At 37.9% G+C, this 26,772-nt stretch overlaps 1 protein-coding gene across 9 annotated transcripts in view; it reads left to right on the top strand.

The window, feature by feature from the left end:
* The window catches only part of LNX2 (ligand of numb-protein X 2), a 75,195-nt gene that overhangs the window by 23,166 nt on the left and 25,257 nt on the right, over nucleotides 1-26,772 (top strand). For all 9 annotated transcript variants that reach the window (XM_017020434.2, XM_011534995.3, NM_153371.4 and 6 more), the window contains one exon: nucleotides 16,139-16,645. In XM_017020434.2, the coding sequence (XP_016875923.1) occupies nucleotides 16,239-16,645 (407 nt within the window). In that variant the 5' untranslated portion in view covers nucleotides 16,139-16,238. The remainder of the gene's footprint in view (nucleotides 1-16,138; nucleotides 16,646-26,772) is intronic.

Below are 26,772 nucleotides of genomic sequence, written 5' to 3'. Positions count from 1 at the left end.
AGGAAATTCTTATATTTATGAGAAACTACTTTTGAATTGTAAGGAATATAGGGATATTTTGATGGGAAATATGAAGAAAGTTCCCTTATAATTCTCTTTTCTTTGATATGTCTATGCTGGTTATGGTATGCTAACACCTTTTCTTACCCGCTTTTCTTCTTTCTCTCTTTTAAAACTTTTGTATCCTAAAATGTTGCTCAAATCCATTCCTCCTTTGACTGTTCATAGTCATTCCCTTAATTCAAGCTCTCATTACCAGTCATCTTGGCCATTGCAGTAACTTTTTGTTTTACCCCCCTTCATTATTGCCATAACTCTGCTGCCAGAGTTACCTACCCAGACACATGGGTCTAGTCACATCATTTGACTCAGGAACCCTTGCTTTCTCTCTGTACCTAGTCCAGCCCTCAGACTCTCTTTTCTGTCCATCCACCCCCGTTACATGCATATACCCACATAGAGTGCATCAACTATTTCTGAAATATCAATTTTTAAAGCTGTTGTTCCTTGTTCCCCATAACTGTCCATTGAGAGTCCTCGTATTGTTTCTGAGCCCGTGTACTTCTCCAAGAAACTTTTCCCAATTATTGCAATAGAAATTACTCTTTTCCACCTATACTTGCATAACACTTTGCTTCTTTTATTCCACTTGACCCAGATATCCTTATATTGGATGTCTGCCTCTCCTATATGTCATAGCAGGACTTATAAACTGCTGTGTTTCTCAAAATATTGAGTGCCGTTTTTATTGTGAAATTAGGAAGATATGGTTTCAATGAAGTTAGCCATCTACAAAAGGACAGATTGATCTCTGATAAGGATAGGCCTTAGAGGTTTTGATTTCTGATAAGGATAGGCCTTAGAGGTTTTTCCCTGTAGTAGTAATCTAATGATAAAGAAGTTTATGATTGAGACTAGAGAAAACAGGGAGGCTAACAGAAGCCTTATATTTTTGAGGGGAAAATGCCTGCTTAGATGTGGAAGGCAACCTTCAGAGAAGCACTCTCTATTAGACACTTATGCAGGTGGGTTAAACTTTACAGAGACATTTATCTGTATGTTATGACATTGGGAGTAGACTGAGAAAGCCTCTTTGTTATGTTGGCTCTATTCAATTGTATTTCCTTGTCAGTGTCTTAAAGAGTCATTCCTTTAATGTTTAGCTTTTTCTCTTTTCATGTACAAATGTCCTTAGACAAAGGTATATTTTCATAAATCATGTGCAGATCACTTGATTGAGATTTTCTTACAGATTTTGTGAAAGATTTTATTTGGAAAGATTTTGTTTGGAAAGGTGGGTAAGAGTAAAGAATGTAATATTGAAACGGAGGAAGGGAAGAATGAAGAAAAAGAGAAAAAGTTAAGAAAATAACAAAATAAAATTTGTGAAATGGAATTGGTCTAGGGCTGGCGGTATGTGTATGTTTAACATACATCTCCATGGGATCCTTTCCTGTTCACCATCTTTTCTGTTATAATTTGTTTTAGAAATAACGGTGATTTGGCTTTGTTAGAAACACGGTTTATAATAAATGATGAATCTGTAAACAATTGTAATTTAATACTGTATATTTGTTTACATCTCACTCAATTGTGAATGGTGCCATGTACAGTTTGTGTGTATACGTTTTGATGGGTTTTAACTTTTTATAGTTTTTATATGTTTTATGGTAGTAAATGACAAAATGTGCATATATTTTATGCATTCTTGACATACCTAACTTTTTCTTAATTTTTTCAGTATCTCTAGGCTATACTGTTCATCTGTGCGTTTTTTCAAATTGTCACAGATCTCCAAATAATTTTCTAATAAATTCATTGAAAAAAATCCACATATGAGTGAACCCATGCAGTTCAAGCCTGTATTGTTCAAGGGTCAGCTGTACATGGAAAAGATAGTTGAGCACCATAGATACGTGTGTTTAATACCCTGCACTGAAGCCACCTACTTGTTCCTTTTCTGAGCCTCAGTGTTGGCTTCGTCTTAGCATATGGTTCCTAATAAGTTTGAGTATCTGAATACTCAGCCTACAGCAGATTAGCAGCAACAGCTCTAAGTATGTTGTTGGGGGCCAGGGAGAAAAGAGGATGAAGTAACAAGTGACAAATACCATTAGGGGAGGTGGCAGAGAAACTGAAAAGTAGAAGATAATATCCAGGTACAAGAGACAGACTAACAAATATTGGAAACAGAGAGATTTGAATGGTTTAGATGAATGGTTTGAAGTGACAGCTGGCTAGGACACAGGGTTTTCGGGTTTACAGGTGGACATAGAGACAGATATGATAGAATCTTAGTTATTTGTTAAGAGATCACCTTTTGTGATGAGGAAGTGAAATTAGAGGCAATTAGAAGATTATCAGGAAGTAGTAGGAATCTGAATTAGAGCAGAGGTCGTGGGAATAAGAATTCTAGAGACAAAATTGGTAGGATTGGTAAGGCAGGTAAAAGTTGACACATTTGTTCATTCATATTCCCTTTCCTCAGGTTTATTATTAACCACATACTCATGTCAGGCATGGGGGTATAGAGATGAACAACTAAGACTTGGTTTCTGCCTTCTAATGGCTGTTCAGTCTGTAGGGAAGACACATGCAAACAAGTGATTGCAAACCACTGCAGTGAGGTGCATGATAACTGTGATAAGTGGCAGTGGAAGGGACATAGTGAGAGCTTGTGTTTGGGTGGATTGGGTAGAGCTTCACAGCAGAGTGTTTACTTGAGCTGACCACTAAATGGATGGGGGTTCTGCAGATACCCAAGGTAGGAAAGGACATTCCAGGCAGGAAAGAGGATGCTGTGGTCAGGAAGTTGTAAATAATTTGGTGTGGCCAAAGCACAAATGTGTAGAATTGTGTCAGAAAGTGAAACTAGAGTCAGATCTGGGAAGGTTTAATTGCAAGGTTGAATAATTTGGCTTTAATTTTGTAGAAGCAGTTGGGGACCACAGAAGAGTATTCAGGCAGGGAAAATAGTATCATGGCTTTTTGGATACTAGTGTTGTGACGGAAGGTAGGACAGAAAAAAGACGGGAAAACCTTCTGCGTTTGCTAAAAGAGTAGGTGCAACAAATAACTGAGAGAGGTGGTGGGAATGGAAGAAAGGGGAGGCCACATTCTGGAGGTGGAATCGAGGGGAACTTGGTGCCTAGGTATGGAAAATGAGGCAGGGAGTGAGAAAGAGAAACGGGAGGATCCTCTGGTTCTAATTATGTGATACTGGGAATATAGGCGTGCCTTGAGGAAGCGGATCATTTAGAGGGGAATAAAGACCTAGTTTTTGAACACAAGTGTGAGGCAGATATACTGTAACAACTGGGAGAAAAATAAAGTTAGATCTATTCTCATACTGCATACTAACCAGAATAAAGTGATAATAAAAAAAATTTTATTATACAAATGAACTATACAAATGAAGAAAATAGAGGCAAATCTTTATCTCATTATGAAGAAGAAGATAAGAGTGGTGGAAGAACTCTCAAAGGGAAAAGTGAGTGTATTCAATTACATGAAAATTGACAGCATCTTTATGCTGGTAGACAACTAAAAGGCAAACAGGAGGCTTGGGAGAGGTGATTATAATAATGTGATAAAGGGTTGCTGTCTTAATATGTTGAGTTCAAATCAATTGATAAGAAAAACAGTACAATTCAATAAGAAAAAACTGGGGCTAAGGTTATAAACAGACACTTCACAAGATAACTAAGGATAATAATCATATGTTTAATTTAGCTGGACTAAAAAAGATGCAAATTAAAAGAACAATGAAATATTTTCAACTATAAAATTTATAAATATTAAAAGAAAATTGACTAGGCTTAGAACAATTTTGAAAAAGTTAGTATATTTATACATTGCTAGTAGGAGTCCAAATTTTGTTCACCATTTTGGAGGGCAGTTTTATAATGTAAATCAGAAGTCTTCCTTTCACTTTGGTCCAACAGTTTGACTTTTTTGGGGTTTGTATAAAGGAAGTAATTGGACAGCTGTTACAAAAGAGTGATAGGATGAGAACAAGAACAAGAATGGTATAATTTCAGCCAGCAGACTGGGCGTGGTGGCTCACACCTGTAATCCCAGCACTTTGGGAGGCAGAGGCAGGCAGATCGCTTGAGGTCAGGAGTTTGAAACCAGCCTGACCAACAAGGTGAAACCTTGTCCCTACTTAAAAAAAAAAAAAAAAAGAACACACACACACACACACACAAAAACCAGGCGTGGTGGTGGGCGCCTGTAATCCCAGCTACACAGGAGGCTGAGGCAGGAGAATCGCTTGAACCCAGGAGGCGGAGGTTGCAGTGAGCCAGGATTGCACCATTGCACTCCAGCCTGAGCAACAAGAGTGAAACTTCATCTCAAAAAAAAAAAAAAAAAAAAAGTTTCAGCCAGCAAAGAGTTTCAAGGAGAGAGACGTTAGTGATATTGAAGAGAGATAAAGTAGTATGAGGGTCTGAGACTGGCATTAGGTTTAGCAGTTAGACATTCATAACCACAGTGAAACTAGTCTCTGTGGCTGATGGAGGTAGAAGCCCTTTTAGGTAAGGAGTTGACAACTGCAGCATGGTATTTTTCAAAACTATTGGAGATGAAATGGAGGTGAGGGAAAGGGTAACCATTGTAGAAGAATGATTTGTTTTTATTTTTAAAGTTGATAAGACATGAATGTTTTTGTACGTGATGGGGAGAAAGAGATTGGAAGAAGATGAGATAAATGACAAAGGCTTCCAAAGGGATGAACCCAGGTGGAGGAGAAACTAGCTTTTAGAAAGGAGAGGGAGAGATATGGCAAAAGAAGAAAGGATGTAGACAGATGCAAATCATAAACCTGTAAACATGGGGGTGAAAAATGTTTTGTTAATGGGGTGGAATGCTATCACCTCTGATTGTTTCACTTCCTACCAAGATACAAATTTCCCCTTTTCATTTAGCATATTTTCTCAAAAGAATTGTCTATGCTCTTAACTCCTTCCTTCCAATTCTCACTTGAACTCATTCCAGGAGGCTTCTGCTGTCTCCACCAAAACTCTATCAAGGTCACCAATGAATTCATGCTGCTAAATCCAGTGCTTAATTCTCAGTCCTAATCTTATTTTACTTGCTTACAGGATTTGACACAGTTGATTATTTCTTCTTCCTCGGAACACTTTTCTTTATCTGCTTTCTCTGTACAATTCTCTCTTAATTTTCGTCCAATCACAGTGGACACTCCTCCTCTGCCTGGTCCTCTTCGTCCCCCAGAAAGGTGCCAAGGTGGAGTCCTGAATCAGCCCTTCTCTTTGCTGCTTACACTCATCTACACTTTTAGTGATCTTTTCCAATCTGATGGCTTTCCATACCATCTTTACACCAGTGTTTCCTAATTTATATCATCTTCCCATTCCTTGTCTTTGAACTGGACTTGTGTGTGCAACTGTCTATTCAGTGTCTCTTCTTAGAAATCTAACAGGCAGTCCAAATTTTACATATTCCAGCTTGAGCATACCCATTAAACCTGCTCTCTTACAGACTTGTGCATCTCAGTTATGCTAACCCCATCTTTCCAGTTGCTCAGATCAAAAATCTTGGTGTCATCCTTGACTTTCCCCCCTCCCATCAGCCCATGAACACATTTTATTAATCAGCAAACTGTATTGGTTCTACCTTCAGAATATATCTAAAATTGAGTAATTTCTCTCTATCTCAACTATGTTCATCATGTTCAATCTACCATCATCTGTGGCTCAGAATATTTCAGTAGGCTTTTAATTGCTTCTGCCTTTGAGCCCTTCAGATTATTTTCAACATAGCAGCCAATGATCTGTTAAAATCTGACTCAGAGTAAAAACCAAAGTTTTTTAGGCCCTACAAGATTTAGTTAGCCCAGTAACCATTCTGATGTCTTCTCTGAACTTTCCTCATTTTATCTATGCTGGCCTCCTTACTGTTCATTGAACACACCAGGGACATTCTCGCCTCAAGGCCATTGTACTTATTGTTTCATTTGCCTGTAACAGACATTTTTACACCAGATACCTGCATGGCTTTCTAGTTACTTCTTTTTGGTTTTAAATTCAAATGCCACCTTCTCAGTGAGTTCTTCCTTGATCATGCTGTTTAAAATAGCTGTCCTCCCAGTACTGTGACTTCCCTGCCTTGCTTTCCTTTGCTCTGTAAAACTTTTCAGCGTCTAAAATACTGCATTTCATTTCTTCTTATATGTTGTCTATCCTCCACCCTCTCCCCCTGTTAACTTCACAAGGGCAGGGATTTTTGTCTGTTCAGTGCTCAACTCCTAACCCTGGAACAGTAGTGTCTGGCACATAGGAGATTCTCAATAAATCCTAGATGGATGGACGAACAGACAGGAAAAAGAATGGGAGGTCAGATTTGAGGTTAGGGAAAAGAATAATTAGTTTGCTTTTCAATATAGTTGGTTTGTGAAAGTTCACTCCCTAGTGGAGATGTCAGAAAGGCAGGTAATAGCAACTTAACATGTGAAACCTGGGATTTTGTTTGAATCCGTTTTGGAAACACAGGAAACTAATATAATTGGAGGTGCATTGTTGATCATCCTAGGGGCTTCATATAGTACAGCCTCTTTATAGTTCTGGCTTTACAGTGCAAATATTTTATTAATATTTGAATCATGTAACATTATGCATTTGTATTTTGCAGGGATATTTGATATATATGAATCTGTAATGAATTACAATGTATTTTCTTTCTTTTAAGTTTTCTCAGTGTTAGAACTGTAACTTAAGTAAATTAGAAGACATTGTGTCAGCACATGGGAATCATTCTGTGTAAACATCAAGGCCAACAAGGCTCTGGTCCCTGCCCCTGAGGCCATTGTCTATTTAGTCTGGCCTTGAGAAAGCACAAATATGGCTCTTCAAGGTCTGACCCAAAGTTATTCTTAATCTGATGGTATATATGTATATGTGTGTGTGTACACACACATATATATACACACACACATATATATGTATATATACACTTTATAATACATATATAAAGTTATAAGTAGAGCAAATTGAACATCCTAAATATGCTTTTTAAATTATTGGTGTCACTGATTAGCTTTGAAAGCTGCAACATTTAAATTTCTTATATCTTGTTCTTAGTTAAGATAATGAAGCCTGGGAATCTTTATTAGTAATATCACCATGATATTATTTTAGTTCTATTTCCTTTACCTTATTGCATAGGTTGATCACAGAATAGCAGTATCCACCCGATTCTTTTGCATTTATTGGAGAAAATAGGACTGACAAGTTTCTTCTGTAGCTTTAGATATTTTTTATGAAAAAGTATAAGATTGGCTCTGGGGCAAAATCTGCTATCTAAAACCACCTATTTACTAACATCTGGGTTAGTACTAAAGCCATCTATGCTGCTAACATTTACCTGTGCTTGCCTTAAAAAAAAAAACCGGGCTGGGGATGGTGGCTGACGCCTGTAACCCCAGCACTTTCGGAGGCCGTGGGAGGCCGAGGCGGGCAGATCACTTGAGGTCAGGGGTTCGAGACCAGCCTGACCAACATAGCGAAAACCCATCTCTACTAAAAATATAAAAATTAGCCACGCATGGTGGCATGTGCCTGTAATCCCAGCTGCTCAGGAGGCAGAGGTTGCAGTGAGCAGAGTTTGCAGTGAGCCGAGATTGCACCACTGCATTCCAGCCTGGGCAACAGGGTGAGACTCAAAAAATAAATAAATAAATAATAAAAATAAAAATAAAAAACCAACCATAGATGCAGCAGCATCTCCTAAATAGCACTTTTGGCTAACATGTGAAACCTGGCTAACATGGTGAAACCCCGTCTCTACTAAAAATACAAAAAAATTAGCCGGGGGTGGTGGTGGGCGCCTGTAATCCCAGCTACTGGGGAGGCCGAGGCAGGAGAATGGCATGAACCCGGGAGGCGGAGCTTGCAGTGAGCCGAGATCATGCTACTGCACTCCAGCCTGGGTGACAGAGCGAGACTCCGTCTCAAAAAAATAAAAATTGCCCCAACTCAGCTGGCTGGTGAAGACTGCTGTTAATGAAGAAAGCCCACGTGTTGGAGGTGCTGGAGAAGTCTTTCTTGTTGGAGCAAAGTTCTTTCCACAGCGGTCTTATTGGCAGAGGTTCACCTAGATGTTACTGGAAAGGTTTAGCATGATATTTAATATATTTCCTTTTTGAAATAATTTTATGTAAATTCTGTTTCCAAATTAAGGTAACATGATTTAGAGTAACCTTTGAAAGTATAACTTTAGTATAACTGTCTTCAGTGTAGGAATCAGGCAGGTAACCCAGTTTGGTTTTTGCCTTGATCACTTTGCACTAAAAAAACCTTTTTCATCATGGTTTAGGAGAATTTCAAAATTAGGAGAACTAAAGGTGAAGGGGGTTTAAAATTTTAAATTTTCTATTAGCCACAATTTGACCTCCCTTATATAGAATATTTAAAAGATTAAAGTTATCAAAAAATAAAAATGAACAAATACTGAGACTAAAAGGTAAATATACCAATAAGTGTTTTATTATATATAAACAGATACAGAATCGTGTTTTAGAGATAAATTCAAACTCCCTCTGTGTGTGTATGTGATTAATTACTATTTAAGCAAAGCCAGTAGATTATAGTTATAGCCAGTAGTTTATAGAATAAAATTTATGTGAAGCTCCCATATGATACGGTAAATATTTCTATGCAGCTAAATATCCAGATATGCTTCTTCCAGTAGGAAGAGGCTCTGGGGAAAGAACTTTATTCCGGGAAAGACAGACTCCTATAGCAAGGCTCAATCAAGCATTTTTCCATTTTTAGTTTTTGCTTTTCCAAAAGGATTGTTGGTTATTGACCGGTACTTCTTGTGAAAGAAGGGTTTTAGAACTCTTCGATGCTGTATATCAGTCATTTACCCCCTTTTCTTTCATTGAATCCACAGGGTCAAAACTGTTTTCACAATGCCTTTCTCACTCTTTTTGGCACAAGTGTCTAGTAGAATTTTCCAGACCTCACATGTGAGCTCATGACAGATTAAAAACAGAAACATATATGAGACTCCAGATTAACAAACATGTAAAATAATATATTTCTTCTATGTTTTTTACTTTGAAAAAAGTTATTTTCCATAAAAATGTTAATCTACTGGGTTTGTTTTTTTTATTAACATGGATATTTGAATTTTCATTACTAACATAATGAATACAGACAGATAAAAGCTGTTTGGGAGCTTCAGTAATTTTTTAATTAAACTTTTTATTTTGTGATAATTGTAGATTCATATACAGTTGTAAGAAGAAATAATACAGAGAGATCCCATGTACCCTTTATCCAGTTCCCCCCAATAGTAGCATTTTGCAGAACTATAGTACAGTATCATAACCAGGATATTGGCATTGATACAATTTCCGTTGTCACATAACCCCTTGTGTTGCCCTATTATTTGCCCCTAACCCTTCTTGATCCTTGGCAACCTCTAATCCATTTCTATAATTTTGTCATTTCAAGAATGTTATATGCATGGAACAATACAGTATGCAGCTTTTTAGCATTGGCTTTTTTCGCTCATAATCTTCTGGAGATTCATAGAGGTTGTTGTTCATAGAGGTTAATAGTTCATTCCTTTTTATCGCTGAGTAAAACTCTGTGGTATAGATGTGCCACAATTTGTTTACCCATTCATCAGTGGAAGTACATCTGAGTTGTTTTGTAGTTTCTGGCTACTACAAATAAAAGTTGCTAGAAACATTCGTGCACAAGTTTTTGTGTGAATGTAAGTTTTCACCTCTCTGGGATAAATGCTTAAAGGTATAGTTGCTGGATTATATGGTAGTTGCATGAATTTTTTAAGGAAACTGCCAAACTTGTCCAGAGTGGATAAAAGGGTTCTGAAGTCAAACAAGTTTGACAGCACTGCTTTTTTTTTTTTTTTTTTTTTTTTTTTTTGTGACAAGAGTCTCGCACTCTTGCCCAGACTGGAGTGAAGTGGCGCCATCTCGGCTTACTGCAAGCTCTGCCTCCAGGGCTCACGCCATTCTTCTGCCTCAGCCTCCTGAGAAGCTGGGACTACAGGCACTCGCCACCATGCCCGGCTAATTTTTTGTATTTTTAGTAGAGATGGGGTTTCACTGTGTTAGCCAGGATGGTCTTGATCTCCTGACCTTGTGATCTGCCCGCCTTGGCCTCCCAAAGTGCTGGGATTACAGGCGTGAGCCACCGCGCCTGGCGACAGCACTGCTTTATACAGAAGCAGCTATCAAAGCTGATATGTGACATATACCATGAGAAAATTTTCCTGTGTTGATACCAAGTAAGGAAACTTTTTTCCCTTACCCCTTTGTAGATTAAAGGGAGTATTACCTTATTCTTTGTGCATTTGTAAATTAACGGGCTGGGTTCATATGTTGATTCCTTTGAAGTGCCACAAATGCACAATATTTCCTCATATATGAATATAGTTATACATATCAGGACCCTTTTTGCATTTCAGGATCATGTATGAGCCTGAGAACAATCTTTTTTAAATGCCTAATATGTCTTAAGAAGTGGGAATACAAAAGATTAAAAAGGCTATTTTTACCCTCAAAGAGGAGGGGAGGCAGATGAGCAAACATGCACTGTAGGAATTGCTGAAGGGAAAATATGTGTAAAGGGCAGCAGGAGCAGAAGGGAAGGGGGGGAGCGCTCAAGAGTAGGAGGAGGCAGAATTTGAGCTGAAGCTAAGGAATGAGAAGGATGGGCCAGGGGGACTTGAGAGGTAGGGTATTCTTAGACCCCTGGTACCGATGAGTTAAGGGAACCACAGATGCTTCCTGTCTAACCTTCAGTGGTAACTCTTAGCTCATCGTCTTTTTCCCTGGGCTGGATCTCTTAGGTTAGGGCCAGTGAAGACCCTTTAAATCTGAGTCAGGAGTAACATCGAGAGAAATGAACTGAATAATACATAGTTTTGGAGTATGCAAACCGATGGTGGAAAACCATAGTTCTTTCTGAGAGTCTTTGTGGATATTCTTATCCCTTAAACCAGGAAGATCAAGCATGTTAATCTTAACTGGAATTAGGTAGTAAACTCCCTTCCTATTGCACTGGCTGTTTTTCAAGATATTATTTTAAATGTGTTGTAATAATCCCGCCCAAGCTAACAGCTTCCTTCTCTTTACTATTCCAGCAATACTGTTAAATAGATTATACAGTTAGAAAAGATGCACATTATGCTACATTTTATCTTTATATTTTAGGAAATGTTTGAGACTATTATTTAACCTGTACTTTAGTATTTCACACTGCTCACAGATATATAATATCTGAACTCAAACATATATGAACATGGGCATGTCCTCCTGTATACATAGATGTAGTTTTGTTCACCTAAACTTGCTGAAAGAAAGCATTATTGTCACCCAGTTGGTCATTCAACATTTATTGAGCTCCTCCCCTGTGGGAGGCTCACTCTTAGAGCTGATAGTTCAGTGAGGGACCCCAGTGTGAGAGTAGTGTGAGGCAGTACAGCCAGCTTGCACACAAAGCAGAAAGAGAAAGATCTGCCTGAGCTGGGAGAAGAGGGGTGGGATTGGGGCTTAGAGAAGTGAGGTCAGGATGCCTTTCTCCTTCCAAAACTCATACTCTAAAGCTTTCCTGGAATATCTTTCCTATCATGTTATTTTAAAGCCAGAAGGAATGGGTTTATCTTCCTTCTTTCTTACTAAGTAACTATATGCTATATGGCTTTGCACAAATAATAAAATCTGTGTGAACATTTGATTCTCTATTTTTAATAATAGATAGCACTTACATTGCACCTATGATTTGCCAGATACAGCAATATATATGTGTATGTGTGTATATATATACGTATATATATCTGAACTTAGATATTATATAGATATAGATATATGTACTGCCTTATATATATAAGTATATGTATATATAAGTATATATATGTATGTAAGTATATATATATATATAAGTGTATATATATACACTTATTCTTTATATTGACCCTTTGAGATAGACCGCTGTTACTAAATGGGAACATGTTAATTTTCTTCATGAAAAGTTTTTTGATAAAATGAAAATAAAGAACTGAAGTTATTTAGAGATTTAGAAAGTAGCTAAAATATAATCGTCTTAAATACTTTCTTAGTCATCATGTGGGAGGCTAGAATTGTAGTATTTTTCTTGAGGAAGAGAAAAATTAGAATAAACACTATCACAAAGAGGGGTAAAAAATAAGTGAATATTCTTGCTAATTGGTAATTCTTGCTATTGGGTAGGAAACAAGAATCTGCAGAAATTCCGTATTAAAATACCTAGCTTGGACGTGTCTGTCTGGCTGAGATACAGGATGTTTCTCTCCTTAATCTCATGTACTTGCACTGACATGTTAAAAGTTACGATGCTCAAAGGGAGAAGAACATGAATTATAAAATGCGAGAAATGTTTGCTTTCTTGATGTTGGTATTGATAGGAGTTTAGATTACAGGCTGCTAGTATTTTTTTTTATTATTTTTATATATTTATTTATTTATTTTATTTTTTTCCTTTTTGAGACAGAGTCTTGCTGTGTTGCCCAGGCTGCAGTGCAGTGGTGCGATCTTGGCTCACTGCAAGCTCCGCCTCCCAGGTTGATGCCATTCTCCCGCCTCAGCCTCCTGAGTAGCTGGGACTACAGGCGCCCGCCACCACACCTGGCTGATTTAAAAATATAGTAGAGACGGGGTTTCACTGTGTTAGCCAGGATGGTCTCGATCTCCTGACCTCGTGATCCACCCGCCTCAGCCTCCCAAAGTGCTGGGATTACAGGTGTGAGCCACCGTGCCTCGCCCATTTTTTTTTTTTTCTTTTTCTGAGACCGAGTCTCACCCTGTCACCCAGGCTGGAGTGCGGTGGCATGATCTCTGCTCACTGTAACCTCTGCCGCCTCCTAGGCTCAAGTGATTCTCCTGTCTCAGCCTCCTAAGTAGTTGGGACTACAGCCACCCACCACCATAGCCGGCTAATTTTTATATTTTTAGTAGCAATGAGGTTTCACCATGTTGGCCAGCCTGGTCTCAAACTCCTGACCTCAGTTGATCTACCTGCCTCAGCCTCCCAAAGTGCTGAGATTACAGGCGTGAGCCACCGTGCCCAGCCTTGCTGGTATTATTTTATTAGTTCTTAAAAACACAATTTATCTGAGGCCAACTGTCCTGCCTGAATCCTATGCCACCACCTCCTAATTTATGACAGTTGTTAAATCTGTTAAAACATTAATGTTTTTCTTTTAAAATTTTTATTTATTTAGAGACAGGGTCTCGCTTTGTTGCCCAGGCTGGAGTGCAGTGGTGCAAGCTTGCCTCACTACAGCCTCAAAGTCCTGGGCTCAAGCAGTCCTCCTGCCTCAGCCTCCCAATTAACTGGGACTACAGCCATGCACCATTGCGCCTGGCTAATTTTCTTATTTTTTGTGGAGACAGGGTCTCACCATGTTGCCAGGCTGGCCTCACTCCTGGGCTCAAGGGATCGTCCCACCTCAGCCTCCTGAGTAGCTGGGACTGCAGGCACATGCCACCATGCTCAGCTATTTTTTTTTTTTTTTTCTGTAGAGACAGGGTCCTACCATATTGCCCAGGCTAGTCTCGAACTCCTGACTCAAGCAGTCCTCCCACCTCAGCCTCCCAAACTCCTCCCTCACTGCATTACAGCAGTGAGCCTCTGCATCTGGCCTACTTTAATGTTGTTTTTCCAATAAATACTTTAAATAAATAAGCAAATACATATACGTGATTGGAGAATTTTGTTATTGAAATAGAAATGCTAGTAGCCTCAACATGGTATCCTACTCTTAAGGTTCTTGTGGCAGGCACGCTAAGTTCTAGAATTCCCCTCCCTTGAGTGTGTTTTCTTTGCTGCACAGTTTTACCTGCTTCATATTCCCTGAATGTGCTGTGTACCCTCAAGCCCCTGCAACTTAGCTGATGCTTTTTTTCACCCAAGGTGCCCTTGTCCATTTTTTCTCTCTGGCTGATACTTCCTGTCACAACTCAGCAGTCCCATGTTTTTTTTTCCCTTTTGAAAGTATTTCCGGCCACAAAGCCAGAGTTAGATGCCAGTTCTTTTCATGTCTCTCCATAGTCACGTAACACCCTGTGCATAACTTTTCTTAGAGTACTTACTAAATTGAATTTTAATAATGGGCTTTAACTGTCCTCTCCCTACCTCTTCTGTCTCGATGTTCAACGTTTGGTACATTCTAGAGTCTCTTCTTATGTAAATATTTACAGAAGAAGAAATACAGAGCTGCTGCCTTTGGAGTTGAATATTTAATCCCTGATCCCTCAGCAGTAGAAAGATGGAAACCGTTAGATGAGGGGAGCATTCCTGGCTAGGCTCGCGCTACCCTGGAGGAGGCTGCTCTAAGAGTTATATTGGAGGGCCGGGCATGGTGGCTTACACCTGTAATCAGCACTTTGGGAGGCCAAGGTGGGTGGATCACCTGAGGTGAGCAGTTTGAGACCCGCCTGGCCAATATGGTGAAACCCCGTGTCTACTAAAATTACAAAAATTAGCCAGGTGTGGTGGCGGGCATCTGTAATCCCAGCTGCTCGGGAGGCTGAGGCAGGAGAATCGCTTGAACCTGGGAGGCAGAGGTCGCAGTGAGCCAAGTACGCCGCTGTACTCCAGCCGGGCAACAGATCGAACTTAAAAATAAGTATGTTGGAGAGGACGCGCGCACACACACACACACACACACACACACACACACACACACACACACACACACACACACACACACACACACACACACACACACACACACTGCTGCTCTGAGTAAGCAAGCCCAAATCGAAGTATGGAATACTATGAGGTGAAATTGAAATGTATAACATATCTTATCTGTTTAATTGAATTTTGGCAGGTTTTTTTCTTTTAGTGGAATAAAATAGTATTGTACTTTGCAGCATTTGCGCTGTTATTTATATACGCTATGCAGATGTATCTTTCTATAATCTGTGTGACATATGGAGAGAGTATTCAAATCATACATACGCTGAAATTCATTTTTCCCATAGTGCTGAGCAAAGGTCATTTTTTATTATTATACTTTAAGTTCCAGGATACGTGTGTAGAACGTGCAGGTTTGTTACATTAGGTATACATGTGCCATGGTGGTTTGCTGCACCCATCAACCCATCATCTACATTAGGTGTTACTCCTAATGCTATCCCTCCCCTAGCCCCCCATCCCCTGACAGGCCCTGGTGTGTGATGTTCCCCTCCCTGTGTCCATTTCTTCTCATTGTTCAACTCCCACTTATGAGTGAGAACATGTGGTGTTTGGTTTTCTGTTCCTGTGTTAGTTGATTCTGAATTATCCTTGAGACTACATTTCAAAGACGCAATCTTTGATATTGTACTGTAAATGTGTAAAATCAATCAGAAGCAAAGAAGCATGTCTAAGATGACATGCAAATGTATTATATACCTCAAACAGCATTACTATTAGCACAATTAATTGGCTTTAAAACTACCATTGAACAGTGACATATTTGGGGATTTCAGTCAGTAAAACAAATCGATTGTTTCTTATGTCACACTATATAATCTATGGTGTCTTTACCTTTCATCAAAAGTTGTTTTTTTATCAAGAACTTGACAGTGGGAGCCAGGCACGGTGGCTCACACCTGTAATCCTAGCACTTTGGGAGGGCTGATTGCTTGAGTCCAGGAGTTCAAGACCACCCTGGGCTTTCCACCATGGAAACCCTGTCTCTACAAAAAAATACAAAAAAATTAACAGGACATGGTGGCGTGCACCTGTAGTACCAGCTACTCGGGAGGCTGAGATGGGAGAGTCACTTGAGCCTGGAAGGCAGAGGTTGCAGTGAGCTGAGATTGCACCACTGCACTCCAGCCTGGGTGACAGAGCAAGACCCTGACTCAAAAAGCAAATAAATAAAAAAATCAAAAGAGACAATTAAAACTTATAATAAAAAAGAACTTGGCAGTGTAAGTCCTTCTTAGCCAACTAGAAAATTAATTTCTTTTTTTATGACTAATTTATTACCTGATTCAACCTTTAATTTTTTACTAAAAAAAGCTAACCAGTAATATTACATTGATACTTTTAACCTATCTTGATTGATATTAATTACCTTTTTTAATGTGTTTGTTTTGCTTATCTAGAAAAACACACCTTGACTTTAGTCAGATACATCACTGTCTGTTAAAGGAAACCAAGCGTGAAGTGGAAGTCTAACACATGAGGATACAGAATTGATTCAAAATGGGAACAACAAGTGATGAGATGGTGTCTGTGGAACAGACCTCCTCCTCTTCTCTAAACCCCCTGTGTTTTGAATGTGGCCAACAGCACTGGACAAGAGAAAACCATTTGTACAATTACCAGAATGAAGTGGATGATGACCTAGTCTGCCATATTTGCCTTCAACCTCTGCTGCAGCCACTAGACACACCCTGTGGACATACATTCTGCTACAAGTGCCTCAGAAACTTTTTACAAGAGAAAGATTTCTGTCCGTTGGACCGGAAAAGACTTCATTTTAAGTTGTGCAAGAAGTCTAGTATTCTAGTTCATAAACTCCTAGACAAATTATTAGTTTTATGTCCATTTTCTTCAGTGTGCAAAGATGTAATGCAACGTTGTGATCTGGAGGCACATCTCAAAAACAGGTAAGCAAAAAATATAAAAGAAGTAACTCCAGATTTTGGAAAAAGGTGGTTCAAATGAACATAAAAACTTGATTAAAACAAAACAAACCAGAGCACTAGTAAGTAAATGGGTGAATCAAGTACAGAAGAGATACAATAAATAAGTTGTATGGAACAGTATTTAACATTATTTATCAAAAACATGAATACAAAAACTACAGTGAGGAAGTACTGTTTTATACCTGTTAATATTTCTGCTGCTGTAATATGAAACTGATATATTCAAATAGATGACAGGATATTATGATAGATTCTTTCTATAAAGCAGTTTGGCAGTTTGTTTTTAAAAACTATATGAATGTAAATCTCCTTTTATCTAGTTTATTATCCTAAGGAAATAATCTAAAAGCAGGAAAAATTGTATGTAAATATGTTCAGTGCAACATTGTGCATAGTTTGGTAAATTGGAATCAGTTATTTAAAAGTAGGGAAGGGTTAAAAAATACTATGCACATAAACTCAGTGGGATATTATGCAGCCAATAAAAACGATAATTTTGTTGCAATATGGAAATAAATACATTATTTTATTTGCTAAGATCTTGTAAAGATTCTGGGTTCAGGGACTAGACTGAACAAGAATTAGGAGTTGGAAAACTAAATATTTAGTGGGGATTTCTGTTCTCATAAAAGCTTTTTAAAAGGTTAAGTAATTTATTTAGCTGATGAGTTTTATAATTTGATTTTGCTAAAAGACTTGATCTTTAACTTAGGAAGAGTTACAGTATACGTCATTTGTGTAGAATCACATAAAATGGCAGAAATAAATACTGGTTTCTAATTTCAAGTTAAGCCAGTTTTACAGTATAAATCTGCAGTAATCTCGATTGCTGTGAAAAACAATGCATACTACATCATACTGGACTTAGATGTAAGAGTGTAAGTCTGATATAGAATGGCTTGCTATTATACTCACACATAAAATCATAGACTTGAAGGAGATTATCTAATCCCCCTCATTTTATGAATAAGGAGACTGAGTCACAAAAATTTAGTTAATGCTGTAGTTAGACTCAAGCTTTACTGTTCTTGTTTACTATTCTAATAAACCATGTTGACTCTATCGTAGGTCAAGTCATGTTCTCTGCTGCTATGTAGCAAAAGTTTCATTCATGTGCACATGAAATACACATTCATTTTGTATCAATATATTGTTGATATTTATTTCTAAACATCAGAGTTAAGACATGAGAAACAATGAAAAAAACAAAGATGTTATTAAAATGTTGGAAACATTTAGATTTATAGAATGCTTAACTCTAAACTGTGTTGTCTAGAACTAGGAGGTAAGATAGAGTAGGATAGACAGACTTTTGAAAATGCGTGTAATAATGTAGCATTGCATTTTTTTATATCTTCTGTAACCAGCAAGCATAGAATCTGAACATGATGGCAGAGGCCTCCTGGAAACTGACACTGGTCTTTTGAATATACTAGTCTGAGTCAGGACTAGTTATGGCTGAAGAATATTTCAGGCTGCTTCTTTCAGTAGAACTGTTCTTTTCAGTGTATAGGCTTCTTTTCTAAACATCAGTTATGAGATGTTAGAGGAACTGAATGAAATGTCAGTTCAGTTATTTATGATTTTGAGAGCTGAAAGATAACAGTTTCACAGATTTTCAGGAATATTCCTTTAACATGCATTCAAGAATTTAATTTGCAGTTGAACTATTACTAGTGTTTCTTATCAAACCATTTATAATGAGAATGTAAAAAACCTTGGTAATTGCAAACTGCCTTTTCATTTACATGTTGGTAAAGGCTTATCCAGTTGAAGGTTTCATTTTCCAGCTGTGCTTATTAGTATTGAAGTAACCAATTTTATCATTTCTAAAGTATCTTAGGCCTGTAACATGAAAGATACAGTGAAAAGATGGATGATTGGAAAAGGTGGTGATTTGCCTGATACAGACAGCTAAGAGTGATTACTGAGTATATAAATGTAAAAAAATTATAAAATGTAATATGATTTTTATATGCCATTTGAACAGATAGTGATGAACAGCCTGACCTTTCTCTGTTCTCTTAAATAAGAACATTGAAATTCAGGTAGAAATGTATATTATACAACATTCAACCCTAAATAATATAGTTCATTTGTTTATTCAGCAAATATTGATTATCTGCTATGTGCCAGATACTTTTCTAGGTGTTAGGTAGTCTCTGCAAGTTAGAATCTAATGCCGGGTTGTAGATTCCTTTAGAAACAGAACCATGTCTTTATAGTCTTTCAGTTTATTTGCCCAAAGTTGACAGTCATCTCATGTTAGTCCAATTAAATTGTTGATCTGTGTTTCAGTTATTCATTGCTGAGAAACTAACCACCCCAGACACACTGACATAAAACAACAAGCATTTGTTGATTCTGTGAGTCAGGATGCAGACAGGATGAAACAGGGATGGCTTGTCTCTGCTATCTTTATGTGTGCCACAGCTGGGAAGGAGCTGAAAGCCAGGGACTGCAACAGTTGTAACTGGAGAGTCTACTTCCAAGATGGTTTCTTCATTCACATTTCTGACACCTTGATGGGAATGACTAGGTGCGTGGGACTTGTCAGCTGGAGAGGCTACAGGTAGCCTTCCCAGCATGACAGCCTCAGGGTATTTAAAGTTCTTACATAAGTGGTTCAGTGTCTAGTAGGCTGCATGGCCTCATATGATCTAGCCTTGAAGTTGCCTGGCATCCCTTCTCTGTTGGAAGCAGTCATAAACCCACCCATATCCAAGGAAAAGGGGACATAGGTTTCACCTTGTGATGGGAAGTCAAAAAAATTTGCAGCCATGTTCTAAAACCAACATAAACTAGCAAGAAGAATGATGTTATGCGGCGCAGAATATGATTACTACGACTGTTTGCGGCTTCTCGGTATACAAATCTCACTTGTTTGTTAGAAATTGGTAAGTCTGTAAGTTTCATTGAAATTCATAAGATTTTAGCATCAGCAACAAAGAGTCATTGTATAAAAGTTGCATGGCTGTCATGTGCCTTTGCTCTTGAGCTTTTAGGGTTTACAGGAATCTCTTAATTATTGGTAGAAATAGAGCATTAGCAGTAGTTTGCATAAATTTGATAATTTCACATTTAAGATCACCTTCCTATTTGAATGAAATCCTGCCCTTAACAAATGTGTTTTGATTTGAGAAGAGCAAACATTTTTCTCCTACAGATAAAATATTTATGAAAGATGAACATGTTTAAATAAAACTGCTATTTTTAACTGATTATGTATTAGTGAAATGAAGAATTTTAAGAGACATGGACAGTCTCTATCTTTGAACAGAGAAATAAAGCCTTTGAAAAATATTCTACATGTTGTACTAAATATGTAACATTTTGATTGTTTCTTTGAAATTCTGCCAAGCAACATCAGCTATATAGCATTCCTCCTACGCTCTACCACTCATCTCCAACCCACCCTTAACGATTTAACATTTAAGCCTTTGGTAATTGTAAGTGCTAGTTGTTGTTGTTGTTTTTAAATTGTGTGTTTGTGCCCTAGTTTATGGCAAGGTTCAGAATTACTTTTCCTCTTAAAAATTACAGTTTAATGCCATTATAAAAAGTTTACAATAGAAAACCTTTAAAGAAGCCTCTTTCCTTGCTGAGAACTTTTCTTGTTCATGAGATGGTTATGAAACCTTAAGTTCAAGTTTGTTCAGCCTGTGCCACATGCAGCCCAGGAAGGCTTTTGGGATTATTTTTTTTTTAAGCTTATCAGCTATCATTGATGTTAGTGTATTTTATGTGTGGACCAAGACAATTATTCTTCTTCCCGTGTGGCCCAGGGAAGCCAAAAGATTGGACAACCCTGCTTTAGATGATGGTCCAGGAAAAACTAAATAGAAAAAAAAGGGATCAGGATAGGCTGAGGCATGATTGCACTTTTAAATTCACACTTTAACTTGGAGGGAAGTTTGTGTTTAGCACATTCTTATCAGTATTGTTTTTTCATGTATGGTGTGAAAAAGCAGATATATGTATTTGCAAATCATGTGTATTCTAGTATCCAGAATATATAAAGAACTCTTAGAAATGAAAAGATAAATCCAATTTTAAATGGGCAAAGGATTTGAATAGATAGTTCTCCAAAGATACTCAAGTGGCCAGTAAGCACATGACATGCTCAACATCATTAGTTCATTTTTATATTGGATTATTTGTCTTTTTGCTAAGTTGTAAGAATTTTCTATGTATTCTGGATACTAGACCCTTACCAGATATATGATTTGCATATATTTTCTCCCATTCTGTCAGTTGTCTTTTCACTTTCCTACATCCTTTAAAGAACAAATATCTAATTTTTATGAAGTTCATTGTTGTTTGCTTATGCTTTTGGTGTCATATCTAAGAAAACATTGCCCAATTCAAGGTCACAAAAATTTACATGTACGTTTTCTTCTAAGAGTTTTCTAGTTTTCTCTCTTATAATTCAGTTTTTGATCCATTTGGAATTAATTGCAATGAGAAATCATAATGTGTATTGTTCAATCCTTTAAATTTTATTGAGGCCTTTCTTTTCTTTTTTTTTTTCTGGAGATAGCATCTCGCTCTGTCACCCAGGCTAGAGTGAAGCAGTGCAATCTTGGCTCACTGCAGCCTCCACCTGCTGGGTTCAAGTGACTCTTGTGCCTCAGCATCCGAGTAGCTGGGACTACAGGCGCACTCCACCATGCCCAACTAATTTTTTTTTTTTTTGTGCTTTTAGTAGAGACGGGGTCTTGCCATATTGCACCAGGCTTGTCTCAAACTCCTGAGCTCAGGTGATCCTCCACCTAGGTCTCCCGAAGAGCTAGGATTACAGGCGTGAGCCACCATGCCCAGCCTTGAGGCCTTTTTTAAAATGGCCTAGCACATGGCCTGTCTTGGAAAATGTCCTGTGTGTACTTGGGAATAATGTAAATTCTGCTGTTAATGGATGGAGTGCTCCATATGTCTATTGGGTCTAATTGGTCTATAGTGTTAAAGGGTCTATTTTCTGGTTCCATGTCTAGTTGTTCTGTTAGTATTGAAAGTCGAGTATCAAAAGCTTTATTGTTGATTTGTCTATTTCTCTCTTTGTCATTTTTTACTTACGTATTTTGGGGCCATTGTTTGGTACAATTTCTGTTTATAATTGTCATATCTTGTTATGTTTTTCTGTCTTTTGCTTTATTTATGTCTTTGAATCTGAAGTGTGTCTGTTGTAGACAGTTGGATTATGTTTCTTGTAGCCCATTCTGCCAGTCACTGACTTTTTATTGGGATGTTTCATTCATGTAATTTAATGTAATTACTGATAAGGTAGGCTTTACATTTGCCATTTTGCTGTTTGTTTCTATATGTCTTATTTCTTTTTTCCTCCATTTCTTCCATTTGTGTTAAATATTTTTAATATGCTATTTTAATTCCCGTGTCATTTCTCTTAATTAAAATTATTTTCTTAGTGGTTACCCTGGGGCTTACAATTAACATCCTAGTTTATAGCAGTCTATTTTAAATGAATACCAGCTTCATTTTCACTAATGAATTAGTCAGGGATCTGTAAGGAAATAGAACCAATATATGAGGAGTTGGCTGACATGATTAAGGAGTCTGAAAAATTACACGTTCTGCTCTCTGCACGCTGGCAACCCAGGGAAGTCAGTAGCATAATTCAGACCTTCTCAGTCAGAAGGTCTGAGAACTAGGAGAGCCAGTGATCCCAGTCTGAGGGCAGGAGATGAGATGTCACAACTCAAGCAGTAAGGCAGGAAAATAAGGAATGAATTTCTTCTTCCTCCACCTTCTGTTTTCTTCAGGCACTCAAAGGATTGAATGATGCAACCACATTGGGGAGGGCAATCTACTTTATACTTTATGGAGTCCACTGATTCACATGCTAGAAACAGCCTCACAGACACACTCAGAAACAATGTTTAATCTGGATACCCCATGGCCCACTCAGTTGACACATAAAATTAACCATCACAAGTAGTATACAAAAACTTTCATTCTCTCTCCCCTCCTGTGTGCTATTATTATTATACAAGTTGTATCTTCACACATTATGTGCCCATCAACACAGAATTATTGCTTTATATGTTTTTCTTTTAAATCAGATAGGAGTAAAAGAATTACAAACCAAATAATTCAGTACTGTACTGATGCTCTTCATTTTTCACATGAACTTGAGTTACTGTTTAGTGTCCTTTCACATCAGCCTGATGGACTTCTTTTAGTGTTTCTTGCAGGTTAAGCATGCTACCAACAAACATTTTGTTTTTACCTAGGAATGTCTCAATTTCTCTTTTATTTTTGAAGTCGGCTGGATATAGACTTCCTGGTTGAGAGTTTTCTCCCCTTCTCTGTCTCTCCTTCCCTCAGAACTTTGAGTATGTCATCCCACTGCCTTCTAGTCTCCATGGTTTCTGAAGAGAAATCAGCAGATACTATTGAGGATCCTTTCCTTGTGATGAGCTGTTCCTCTCTTACTGTTTTCAAGATTCCTTATCTTTGGCTTTCACCAGTTTTATTATGAGGTGTCTTAAGTGTGTATATCTTGTGGTTTTCCTACTTGGAGTTTATTAAGCTTCTTGGATGTGTAGATAAATGTTTTTCATCAAATTTGGGAAGATTTTTGGCCATTATTTCTTCAAATATTCTTTCTACTCCTTTCACTCTCTCTCCTTTTGGAACTCTCATTATGTATATGTTTATTCTCTTAATGGTGTCCCACAAGACCATGAGGCTGTGTTCTTTTTTTTTTTTTCTTCCCTGTTCCTCAGACTGGATGATCTCAATAAACCTATCTGCAAGTTTGCCAGTTCTTTCTTCTGATTCAATTCTGCTGTTGAACTAGTGAATTCTTTTTCTGTTTTGTTTTTTTGGAGACAGAGTTTTGCTCTTGTTCCCCAGGCTGGAGTGCAATGGCGCAATTTCAGCTCACTGCCACTTCTGCCTCCCAAGTAGCTGAGATTACAGGCATGCGCCACCAAACCTGGCTAATTTTGTATTTTTAGTAGAGACGGGGTTTCACCATATTGTTCAGGCTGGTCTTGAACTCCTGACCCCAAGTGATCCACCCGCCTTGGCGTCCCAAAGTGCTGGGATTAAAGCACCCGGCCATGCATTCTTTTTCATTAAACTTTTTAACCCCAGAATTTCTGTTTGGTTCTTTATTATGACTTAATGTTTCTTTATTGATATTTTCTTTTTGATAAGACATCATTCTCATATTTTTCTTTAGTTCTTTAGATAGGTTTCCTTTACTTCTTTGAACATATCTAAAATAGCTGATGTAAGTTATTGTCTGATAAAGCTAATGCCTGGGCTTCCTTAGGGACAGTTTCTGTTGGCTGCTTTTTTTTTTTTTTTTCCTGTGAATGGGCTGTACTTGTTTCTTTGCATGTTTCTTAATTTTGTATTGAACAGTGGACATTTTAAATAATATAATGTGGCAACTCAGAAAACTAGATTCTTCTCCTTCCTGAGGACTTGTTATTGTTGTTGTTTGTTTGTTTGCTATGTGACTCTTATGAACTAATTCTGTAAAGTCTCTGCTCATTTTGTGTACTGGACAGCTAATGATTGGACAGAGAATTCTTTAAATGCCTGAGATTAAAAAAATCTCCCCGTCTTCCATGGGGGTTCTGTGTGCATGGTGGGGCATGCCACACCCTCAACACTCACGCCACTGACAGCTCCACCTTAGCCTACACACACAGCCCTGAACATAGCTGAACCTCTGTGGACGTGTCATTCCCTGGCTCTTCCTTGTAAACATTCTGGTTAGCCTTGTATTTGTCTTCAGGCAGCCACAATCTTCAGCAATGACCTCTGATTTTTTTTTTTTTTTTAACCAATGCTTAACAAATGCCCCCAGTGAAAAGGAAGTTTGCCCTGGGTGAGCTCTGAGTCAAGCCAAGTAAAGACAGGCACACAGTCATACAGGAAACAAGTATAGGGGGAAAAAAAAGAAGAAAAAAGACAAGCACACAAGAGGGGAACCATAGACAGGTCAGTTAATAACAGATCTCTGGGAATAGGGCTTTGAAGGTTCTCCAGTCTGCTCTTCCAGTGTCTGCCAGCCTCCTGATTTCCACTGTGATGTGGGCTGTTGCTTTTCCAATATTCTGGGGAGGTGAGGATGGAAATAGGGTAAACTCAAATGCCACAGAGCTCTCTCTTCTTACTGAGAGTCAGCCATTTTTCTTGAACAAATGTTCTCCCTACTGCTATAATTCTTTGGCTAATTTCCACACTTCAGAAATGGCTGGTTCTGACAATTTCTTCCAGTGTTCTTACTGCTTTTATGGAGGAGAGACTTTTCAGATATTCTTAATTCACCATTTTCACTGACATGACTTGAATTAATTTTTGTTTATTCCCTAGCTATTTTTATCATTTTTCTTGATTCTAAGGTGTTCACATTCTTTCAGTGTCATTAAATACCTGGCATTGTGCAGTGGTTAGTATGCATTGTTTTATTTTGTTTCTACTGCACTACCACCACCCCCACTATTAATACTAATATTACTGACAATAATATAGTGTGTTGTTGCACCATGTGTTTCCTAGTGTGAACTAGCTCATATGCAGTTGTTATCAGGGAATGATGTCACTGTAGCATAAATCAAATTAGTCCATATATAATTTTTCCCTTAGGAGGAGAGCCAGAATAGTGGGAATAGAAGAACAACCTTCAGCAGGAAAGGAAAAATCCCTATTTGGGTCTTGGCTGCTGCAAGAGCATTTTGGTTTTATTTAAGAAAATTAAAAAACACACCTACATGTACAGATCCCTCCCTCAGGAGGTGCAGCCCTCAGCCCATGGCAGATTGCACTGCCTCAGCAGCCCACCATCTCAGAGCTCCACTGTATGGTCTCAGCATGTGCCTACCTCAATCTAATTAGATGTCACATGCTGTTCTGTTCTATTGTTTTTGTTTAATTTTGATATCCTCTGTACTAGTCTCCTGCTACACTGAGTCACCTGCCTGAATAAACCAAGTCACCTCCCCCAGTGCAATTTCAGTTTGTGTTCTTAAATGTTCCATTTCCAAAGATGGATAGGTTTTTATTTTTGTGATTTCTGTTTTTTAATGATCGCTAATACCCTTCTAGCCCCAACGTTCTGTGATTGTGTTTCTAGGTACAAATTTTTAGAAGAAATTCAATTTATATTTTCCCAAGGCCTAGAAAAAGAATACCATAGGAATGAATTTAGTATGATACACTGGAAAGAACAGAAGCTAGAAGCCTTTGAAATTAGATCTGAGTTTGTTTGGATTATGGCTCTGCAATTTAATATCTGTGTGATGTTGGCTTAGTTGGTTAAGTCTCAAGTTTCCCATTTTTAAATGGGGATAACAGAGTAATTGTGAGGATTTAATGAAATAATGTATATAAAGGTTGTTACGTAAGTAATTGGCACAAATTAGGCACTCCACAAATGTTGAGTTTTTCCTTTCTCTTTCAGTTCCAAGTATTTGCAGCTTGAGGGATGATGGCTCTGAGCTGTCTGTATTCATGAGCTTTTATCTGCCCAAGTCTGCTCTGATCTACTCATTCCCTAATACTTTTTTTAAAATATAGTTTTATTGAGATTCACATATCATCAAATTCACCTATTTTATAAATTCATTGTAAATTGCCCACTTTAAATAAATTCACTTTATTTAAAGTGTGCAATTCAGTGCTATTTAGTGTATTCACAGAATTACGTGACCATCATCACAATCCAATTTTTAGAACATTTTCAGCATACCTAAAAGAAACCCAATACCCATTAACAGCCATTTCCCATTCCCCGATACACGGTTTTGAGTGTCTACCCCAACTCTTTTTTTCCTTTAAGCCCTGTTGCAGTTTTTCTAGAATGCATATATTATGTTAAAAGAAATGTTTGTAGTATAATCTGGGCTTTTGCCCTCATCAGTGAAAGTGTTCTTTCTGAGGTTACCTTCTAATTGCCAAGTCTACCAACACTTTTTGGTCCTTATTTTATTTGCCCTTTCTGTGGCCATTTGCACTATTGGTCACTTTTTGTTGTTGACTGCTTGTCTCCCTAGTTAAGTTTGCACTCTTTGTCTCATAATCTCCTTCTGTCTAGTTGTTCAATTTCATCTACT

Source organism: Homo sapiens, chromosome 13, assembly GCF_000001405.40.
Source record: "Homo sapiens chromosome 13, GRCh38.p14 Primary Assembly".
Classification (NCBI taxonomy): Eukaryota; Metazoa; Chordata; class Mammalia; order Primates; family Hominidae; genus Homo; species Homo sapiens.
The sequence above is the reverse complement of the archived record's forward strand: the minus strand, read 5'-3'. Positions and strand labels throughout refer to the sequence as shown.